Here is a 10,207-nt window from a genome sequence, read left to right as displayed (position 1 = left end):
TGATGTCCAAGGGCAAGAGGAGGAGGGTGTCCCATCTCCAAGAAGAGAGATATGAGTTTGCCTTTCCCCTGCCTTTTTGTGTTCTATCTGGGCCCCCAGCCAAATGGATGGTGCCCACCCACACTGAGGACAGATCTCCCCCACTCAGTCTGACTGACACATCAGACTCCTGTGGAAACAAATACACCCAGAGATGATGTTTTACCAGTTCTCTAGCTATGCCTTAATCCTGTCAAGTCAACACCTAAAATTAACCATCACAAACCCACCCCTTGTCAACTTGGCACCCATACCCATCTCCTTAAACCATACTTGGTCTCCAATTAAAGACAATAACAAGGTAATAGTTCACCCAGCGTGATGCAGCTATCCTGCATTCAACCAAAAATGCATTAACCCCTGCCCCAGAAAGGAGGTCAAGTCCTTGACTGATGTTTACTCTTCCCATGAGATCCCGTAATTTAAATACTATGATGTAAAATTAACAATACGTCAATACGGATATAAAGTCAGTATCTTATGTTACATAAGAGAGAGGAATGAAAACAAAGATATTTGCTTAATATATGTATATATACATACAAATGTATTTTTAACAAATGGGAGGAAACACTCATGACAATTACGGTCCTCATTTCTGTAACTGGTTATGTGGTCATAGCTGGTATTTGTAACTACCTCCTTCCACTACCTATTCTGTATTTCCTTTGCCTCCAGCAAGCACCTCAGCTGGTCATGGCACCTTGTGGGGTAACCCACGCTTTCATTCCTGAAGGGTCTGGGCCATTTGCAGTCAGTCCTGCCTGAATTGGGTTGCAATTTCCCATTGACCTTAATCACAGGGTATGCTAATGCTGAAAGATGCCCCAAGGGATCTCCTGTATTCCAGACATACTTTTCCTTACCTGCATTGTGGAGTAGTAGCCCGATTTCCTTTTGGAAGTCTGGTTAATCATCCCAGCCTATACCATAACTGCCTTCTTAGCCTGTCAACTCAGGGCATGAGGAGCTCGAAGTGGCCAGGTGGCAGTCTTAACTCCCAGTTCAATGGAATCGTTGTTGCGTCTCCTGGTGGAAGCATTCCTCCCTCTGAAACTGAGAACTTTAGGCCAGCAGAGCATAAAGTTGTGCAAACGGGAAGCAAAAATTTTACTAGTGGATCAGCAGGGATAATGATGAGTGGTGTCACTCCCATTTTCACCCCTTGATTCCTGAGCCCATGAATCCTGGTTATGGGAGAAACAGGACCATATACTAGACACTGATTCAGAGCATATACAGCCTTCTGGAGAATCTTGCCTCAGCCCTGCAAAATGCTGTCACTTAGCTGGTGCTGTAACTGCAATGTCAAAAGGCCATTCCATTGTTCTATAAAGCCAGCTGATTCAGGATAATGGAGAAGATGGTAAGACCAGTGATTTCAATGAGCATGAGCCCATGGCCACATGTCTTTGGCTACGAAGTGAGTTCCCTGGTCAGAGTCAATGCTGTATGGAATATCATGATGATGGATAAGGCATCTATAAGTCCACAGATGGTAGTTTTGGCAGAAGCATTGCATGCAGGAAAGGCAAATCCATATACTTATGTCTATTCCAGTAAGTGTCAGTATTGTAGTACTCAGTAAGTGTCTATTCCAGTAAAGACAAAATGCTACCCTTTCTATGATGGAAGAGGCCCAATGTAGTCAAGTTGTCCCCAGGTAGCTGGCTGATCACCCAGAAAATAGTGCCATACTGGGGCTCATTGTTGGTCTCTGATGCTGGTAGATTGGGTGTTCAGTGGGTGACTGTAATCAGGTTGACCTCGGTGAGTGGAAGTCCATGTTGCTGAGCCCATGCATAACCTCCATCCCTGCCACCATGGCCACATTGCTCATGAGTGCATTGGACCATGTCAGGGGTGTCTGGGGAAAGAGGCTGACTAATACCCACAGAACAAGTCATCCTATCCACCTGATTATTGAAGCCTTCCTCTGCTGAGATCATTTTGGTGAGCATTTACATGGGACAAAAATATCTTCACATCCTTTGTCCACACGAGAGGTCTATCCACATACCTCTTCCAGGATTTCTTGGTCACCAATTTTCCAATCATGTGCCTTCCAAATCTCTGACTGTCTAGCCAAACCATGGGATACAGCCCATGGATCAGTATATAATCACACGTCTGACCATTCTCCTTCTATGCAAAGTGCATGGCCAGGTGCACTGCCTGAAGTTCTGCCCACTGAGAAGATTTCCCTTCACCAGTGTCCTTCAGGGATATCCCAGAAAGGGGCCAAAGTGCTGCAGCTGCCCACTTTCAGATGTTGCCTGCATATTGTGCAGAACCATCTGTGAATCAGGACCTGGTCTCCTCTTCCTCTTCAGTTGATCATAGGGTACTTCCCATGAGGCCATGGGTGCAGGTGGGGAGAGAGAAACCATGGACATTTGGGCCACTTCATGTAACTTACTTGTGTCTGCAGGGCCTGCTTGGGCCTGATCATGTGTATACTACTTCTATTTAATGATGGAACACTGCTGTGCACACCCAACTTTATGGGTTGGTAGATCAGATAATACCCAGTTCATGATAGCCAGATCAGGTTGCGTGGTAACTTGGTGGCCCATGGTCAAGCATTCAGTTTCTACTAAGGCTAAGAGCTATCTGTCAAAAGGAGAGTACTTATCTGCAGATGATGGCAGGGCCTTGCTCCAAAATCCTAAGGGCCTCTGCTGTGATTCTTCTGTACCCTCCCTATCTGCCACTGACTCCTCAAGCACCATTGGATCTGCTGGATCGTATGGCCCCAAGTGTCAGAGCAGCTTTCACAGCAGCCTGGACCTGTTGCAGAGCCTTCTCCTGTTCTAGGTTCTATTCAAAACTAGCAGCTTTTTTAGTCACTTGGTGGATGAGCCTGAGTAACACACCCAAATGAGGAATATGTTGACTCCAAAATCCAAGTAGGCCCACTAGGCGGTGTGCCTTTTTCTTGGCTGTGGAAGGGGCCAGGTGCAACAACTTAACCTTCACCTTACAAGGGATACATCAACAGGCTCCATATCACTGGATTCCTAGAAATTTCAGAGGTAGAAGGCCCTTAAATTTTGATTGGATTTATTTTCCACCCTCTGACATGCAAATTACTTACCAACAAGTCCATAGTAGTTGCTACTTCACGCTCATTAGGTCCAAGCAGCATAATGCCATAAACATAATGGATCTACTCCTAAGGTGGAGTAGATCAAACCAAACTCAGACACCAATCTCCTCTGGAAACCCCCTCATAGCCACACCCAGAAGTGGTGCTTCACCAGGCCTCTAGGTATTCCTTATCCAGTCAAGTTGACACCTAAAATTAACCATCACAGCAGGGTGTAGGCAGGTAGCTGGACTTTAAAGTTTTAATGGCCTAGAATCAAATGCTACATTTTCTATTTGCTACCTGTTTGACCTTGAAGAAAGTTAATTAACCTTTCTGAGCCTCAGTCTCTGCATTTGTTAAAGGACTTTCATTGACTTCTTGTAATGATTACATGAGGACATGGAGATTTTCAGCACCCATAATCACAAACAACACCATTGCTGTTTTCTTCCTGCCTTTTCATTCATTCATCAACTATTCTGATTCTGTGGGTCCAGAAACACGGGTTTGTTTTGTTTCTTTTTTTTTTTTTTTTTTTTTTTTGGAGAGACTGGGTCTCACTATGTTGCCCAGGCTGGTCTTGAACTCCTGGGCTCAAGCAACCCTCCCATCTTGGCCTCCCAAAGTGCTGAGATTACAGGTGTGAGCCAATGTGCCTGGCAGGAAGCACTGTTTTTAGAAGGCACCTTAAATAGTTCTCTTGCTGGGGTCCTCAGACCACCCTTGAGAAGTATTATTCTTGAAGGATGACCAGGAGTTTGGGCACCAAGGGGAGTGTGGGCTGTCACAGAGTTCTTGAGGTCATGCACATGCAAGGGGTACCACAACATCATACTACATCATACTACATGCCCATGGTCCACCCAGAGGTGGGGTGCATGACCTGCAAGACCATAGGCAGTGGCCCTGGGGAAGGAGGCAGAGGGAGGATGTTTCAGGCAGAGAGTGCCGTGGGGAGGGGTGGGGCATGTCTGTGTGATGTGTGTCTGCATAGTGTGATGCAGGGTATGTTGGGGACACTGAAGATTTTTGGGGAGCACATAGGGTAGGAGACAAGGGAGCAGGTCGGGAGGTCCTTGGGTGTCATGTCCCGGAAGCCCTGCTTTACCTGGAAGCAGTGAGAATCCACAGAAGGATATTAGCAAAGATGGGACCAGATGCATGGATGGCCACATGAGAGGTGAGCTGAGAGGGTAGGTCTGCAGGCAGGGACAGTCATTGAGGGTTCTAAACAAGCCAGGTGAGAGCCAGTGAGAGAGCTGAACTGAGCCCAAAGCAGAGTATGTGTTGAGCAGAGCACAGACTTGAGAGATGTCCAGGAGGAGGGTGTGGATTGGTTGCTGGATGGGGAAGAGGAGGCAGGTGCTGAGATGACCAGGAGGGTCCAGTCAGGGGACCCAGCATGTGATTCTTTGCGAAGGCAGGTCGGGAAGAGCAGGTGTTTGTGGAATGGGAAATCAGTGATTAGTTAAGGGCTGATCATATTTAATGTAAAATTCTCATGTGACATCCAGGTTCTGGTCCCCAGGCATCTAGAACTCAGAGGACAGGCCTGGGAAGGAGGTAAATATTTTGATCTACAGTCTTGGCTTGAGGTGACTGCTAAGGTAGTGTGAGGAGTGGGAAGAGGAGGATGTGCTAATGTGATTCCTGATCACATCAATCCCAGGAGCCAGGAGATGGAGCAGGCCGAGGGAGGAGGAGTGGGAGGGGGAAAGAGGGGATGTGGAAACCATGGAGGACCCTGTCAACTGTATCATCTGAGAGCGCTGTCACTAAGCACTGAAAGGGGGGCTCAGGGTCTGTTGCACAGGAGTCACTGGCCAAAGTCATCAGCTTCAGCTAAAGGGGTTTGGTAACATGCAGGGCAGAAGCCAGGTGGCTCTGTGTTAAAGAGGAAATGGGGAGTGAGAAAATGAAGACCAGGAGCTCTTTATTTTTTCTTGAGACAGGGTCTTGTTGCCTAGGTTGGAGTGCCATAGTGGATCACAGCTAACTGCAACCTCAACCTCCTGGGCTCAAGCAATCCTCCCGCCTCGGCCTCCCAAAATGAGGGAATTACAGGAATGAGCAACTGTGCCCAGTCAGGAGTTCTTGAGTGAGACAGGCAGTGAGAGTTCAGGCAAGAGTGAGCATGGAGTATAAGGTTACAGGAAGGGCCTTTTAATTGAATGGGAGCTCTTCAAGCTGTTCATTTCTCAGGTGTGTTCTAGCTGAGGCAAGAAGCCAGAAAAGTATAGTGAAAAGAACTGGAGAAAGGGAGTGATTCCGAGGGGACTGGATGGAAGGGCTAGAGGCCAATGCAGAATGGGATGTAGGCCCACCTGTTAGAATGGCTGTTCTCAAACAGTCAACTTCTAGCAAGGGTTGGCGAGGATGTGGAGAAGCGGAATCCCTGTACACTGTAGATGGGAAGGTCCTCCATGGTTTCCACATCCTCTCTCCACCTCCCACCTCGCCTCCCTTGGCCTGCTCCATCTCCTGGCTCCTGGGATTGATGTGATCTGGAATCACATTAGCACATCCTCCTCTTCCCACTCCTCACACTGCCTCACACTGTGCGGGTGCACACACACACACACACACACACACACACACAGGAATATTATTTAGCCTTAAGAAGGAATCCTGGCCGGGCACAATGGCTCATGCCTGTAATCCCAGCACTTTGGGAGGCTGAGACGGGTGGATCACCTGAGGTCAGCTGTCCGAGATCAGCCTAGCCAACATACTGAAATCCCATCTCTACTAAAAATACAAAAAATTATCTGGCTGTGGTGGTGCAAGCCTGTAACTAGCTGGGCATGGTGGCGCAAGCCTGTAATCCTGTCATTTGTGACAACATGGATGAACCTGAAGGACATTATGCTCAGTAAAATAAGCACCAAAGTAAATGAATCAGCATTTCAAAGAGCTGTCTGCACTCATATTCATTGCAGCATTATTCCCAATAACCAAGATATGGAGTCAACCTAGTGCCTATTGTGGGTAAATGGGTAAAGAAAATGTGATGCGTATGCGCGCGCACACACACACACACACACACACACACACACGAATATTATTTAGCCTTAAGAAGGAATCCTGGCTGGATGCGGTGGCTCACACCTGTAATCCCAGCACTTCAGGTGGCTGAGGTGGGCGGATCACCTGAAGTCCAAGCCTGGCCAAACCTCATCTCCACTAAAAATACAAAAATTAGCCAGGTGTGGTGGTGCATGCCTGTAATCTCAGCTACTTGGGAGGCTGAGGCAGGAGAATCACTTGAACTCGGGAGATGGAAGTTGCAGTGAGCCAAGATGGAGCCCCTGCACTCCAGCCTGAGTGACAGAGCAAGACTCAGTCTCAAAAAAAAAAAAAAGGAATCCTGTCATTTGTGACAACATGGATGAACCTGGAGGATATTACTCTTAGTAAAATAAGCCAGACAGAGAAAGAAAAATCTGCATGATCTCACTTATCTGTGGCATCTAAAAATGTAGACCTCACAGAAACAGAGAATAGAATAGTAGTTACCAGGGATTGGGAAGCACAGGGGAAATCAAAGATATTGGTCAAAGGGTACAAACCTTCAGTTACTAGATGAATACATGCTGGGATCTAATGTACAGCATGATGACTATAGTTAATCATACTGAATCAGATACTTGAAATTTGGGAAGAGTGTAGATCTTAAGTGTCCTCACATGCACACAAAGAGTGACTGCATGAGGAGATGGATATATTAATTACTGTGATTGCAGTGTACCAAATCATCACGTTGCACATCTTAAATATGTAAAATTGTTTGTCAATCACACTTCAAGAAAGATGGAGGGGGGCGGGGAACAAAACAAAAAGGGCATTAGGATTGCATACACGGGAGACCTGGTAGAGGGAGGCTGTCTGGCTGGCCAGGGAGAGGATGGTGCCATGGGCCTATGAGGGGTCCTGGGGCATGTCAGGTGTGTGCAAGAGGAGCTCAGGTTCACACTCAATAACGCTATTTGTCTGTGCAGTTTGAAGTCAGGACATGATGCGGGGCAGAGCCTACTTCCTATTTTTCCTACTTCCTATTTCTCTCTACTATTGAGGAGGGAGAAAGCTCTCAAATCTGCAACATTTGGGGAAATTATCATAATACAATGATCTTTTTGAAGATTTTCATAATCCTTTTGTACAAAATTAGTATCAGTTTATAATCCAGTTTTGCTGTCCGTGTTCTAGTAATGGTCACATGGTGCCTCTTAGAATAAAAAGGTATGATGATCTAAGGAAAGCTGAATTATCAAAATTTAAACTATACTTATAAAATATTTGCATTTTTAGAAAATTATTTACTTATTTACCTTAATGGCTAGAATTGATTGTCACATTCATGCATTCATAGACTTAAAAAAAGTATTGAAATAATCATTAGGTTAGAATGATGGGATAATGACATTTTTTCAGAATTTTCTATAAGACTATTGTCAACAAATATCTATAAAAGTGAAATGTGAAGAATCTGGGTCTTTGCAACTTTTTAAACCTTGAGAACAGAAGATAAATGTTCTTATATCTAATTCAGCTCTAGGACTAATGTTGTTTTAGCCTTATTTTAAATTCAATAAAGTAAGATTACAGAAGCATCAACTGACTTGTATAAATTTTGAGCACACAATAACTAGGTGTTTTCTTTAACACTGGAGTGTTATTGTCAATTTTATATATCTAATGAAAATAGCAACACATCCTTCTATCCCTGAAGCTGGGATAAATAAAAACTCTTTCTTTTTTTACAGGCACAAACTAGGTGTGGGTCTGGTGTGGTGATTGCTGAGGGTAGGGTCCTCTTTTGGCCTGTGTGACTTGTTATTCAAGTACAGAAAGCATGTGTCTGTGTGCATTTGTTTTGGCCCGCTGCTCTTTATCCCACTCTACATGCCTGAGAGTCCTGGAGGATGGTTCCAAGGCCACATTAGGCATTCACCTGTGTCACTTGACTGCAGACTGAGCTCATGGTTGGGCCACTGTCTTACTTTTGCAAGTCTCTGATCCCATTTGTAGTTCATTTTTCCAACACAAAATAATTTTAATGGTGATAGCATATCCAATAAAAGCATCATGATTAAAATCTAATAAAGGTTCTAAATGCTTGGCTATAGCATACCTGTCAAGAGTGTGGCTACGTTGGGTAGGCTTCTCTACTCACAGTGCTAATGCGAACCTCTCAGCTGCAGTCAGCACATCCCTTTCATTGCTTTTGCTTCTGTTTCTGAGATGCCTCTCCCTACTCCCACCTTTAACCTCCAAGACTTGTTTCAGCTCATCCAAATTCATAAACTCATGCTGAATCCCTCACCTTCACAGGTCTAAGTTTCTCTCTTGGGCCAGCAAAGCACTGGTCTTATTTTGTCTTGTATTTTAGTGACTTATTTGTCTAATACACAAAAACTCCCTGTCCTCACAGTTGCATTAACCCATAAGCTGTTTTCTATGGCATGGATTTTCTCCTAATTTCTGCAGAGCACCCATCACTCAGTGGACGCAAAGTCAATGTTCATTAAATTGAAGAGACAACAGTCTCTGCCCAAGCACAAGGGAATTGGTCAACCAGTAATTGAGCCCCTGTTGTTCACCAGCCCATTCTATGGGTAGATGTTCCAGATATAAAGAAAATAGAAGAGTGCTAGGCTCTGTTCTCTGCTGCGATCTAATTGGGGTGGCGTAAACATAGACAAGGGACATGCTACACTGAGAGGCAATCCTCCTTAGATAGGAATGCTTTTGCTTGATTTAACATTGTCATTAACTTCTGGAAGCCCCCTTCATCTCCTTTATTTATGCTAGTCCGCCTTTTTTCTGAGCCTACTTCCTATTTTTCAAATCTGCCTTCTCCTCGTCATTCCCATGGCTACCTGTACTGGCCTACATTGTCACTGCTTCATATCTGAACCCCTGCAGTAGTGTCAGTGTCAATCTCTCCTATCCTGAACATTGACATTCACCAAAATCCCCCAACATCTGGGGAAACAGCAAAGCCCATTCCAGTTTGAAGCTCTTAGGTAATCGTGTGACTCCACATCATTCCTTGTGGGAGAGAATCACTGCCTGATACCAGTTCTTCCTGGTTGCATTCAAGGTCTTCTCTGCTCTGATCCCACATTTTCTGGCCAACTTCAGCTCCTTATGTTCAAATCATTTGTGTCATTTTATTAAATAAATCAGCTGACAATTGTTTGCCTGCATGACTATTAACTGGGGAAGGACAGTAATTCCTTCCCCAGGATAATAAGGCACCATTATCTGCCTTTTCATTACAAAACAAATCTAAAACCAGGTGCCCTTTTCTTTTCCAGTGTCAAGTGACTTATTTGTCCCAGAAGTTTTTAGGGTGTTGCCAAGCTGATGGAGCAAAGAAACCATACAGCTCCCCTGGCACAAAATGGAGGGATGACAAGGAAAGCAAACCAAATGTAATCATAAAATTGGTTGGGCTTCTGTTCTCCCTTTAGTGGGAAACACTTAAGGTTTCTTGGTCTAGGCCGGGGACAGTGGCTCATGCCTGTAATCCTAGCACTTTGGGAGGCTGAGGCAGACGGGTCACGAGGTCAACAGATCAAGACCATCCTGGCCAACATGATGAAACCCCGCTCTACTAAAAATACAAAAATTAGCTGGGCATGACGGTGCGCACCTGTAGTCCCAGCTACTTGGGAGGCTGGGGCAGGAGAATCACTTGAACCTGGGAGGTGAAGGTTGCAGTGAGCCAAGATCACGCCACTGCACTCCAGCCTGGTGACAGAGTGAGAATCCGTCTCAAAAAAAAAGCTTTCTTGGTCTTGGTCTAAATCTTTTTTTCCCTGAAGACATGGCACCCTTTGTCATTTGTAGCTGGGCATGTGTTTGACATGGAAGGCTGCCTTGGGTCTAGAGAGGTGATTCAATTCACAGCAGATGGTGCTTCTCTTATATTGGCTTAGTGGCTTTCTAAGAAAATGAACATAATGCCTTACTTTATTCTTGATATTCTTAAACTTTATTTCTTTTTCTTTTCTTTCTTTTTTTTTGAGACGGAGTTTCGCTCTTGTTGCTCAGGCTAGAGTGCAACAGCAT

The sequence above is a fragment of the Homo sapiens genome, chromosome 2 (assembly GCF_000001405.40).
Source record: "Homo sapiens chromosome 2, GRCh38.p14 Primary Assembly".
NCBI classification, from domain to species: domain Eukaryota; kingdom Metazoa; phylum Chordata; class Mammalia; order Primates; family Hominidae; genus Homo; species Homo sapiens.
Note: the sequence above shows the minus strand (reverse complement) of the source record.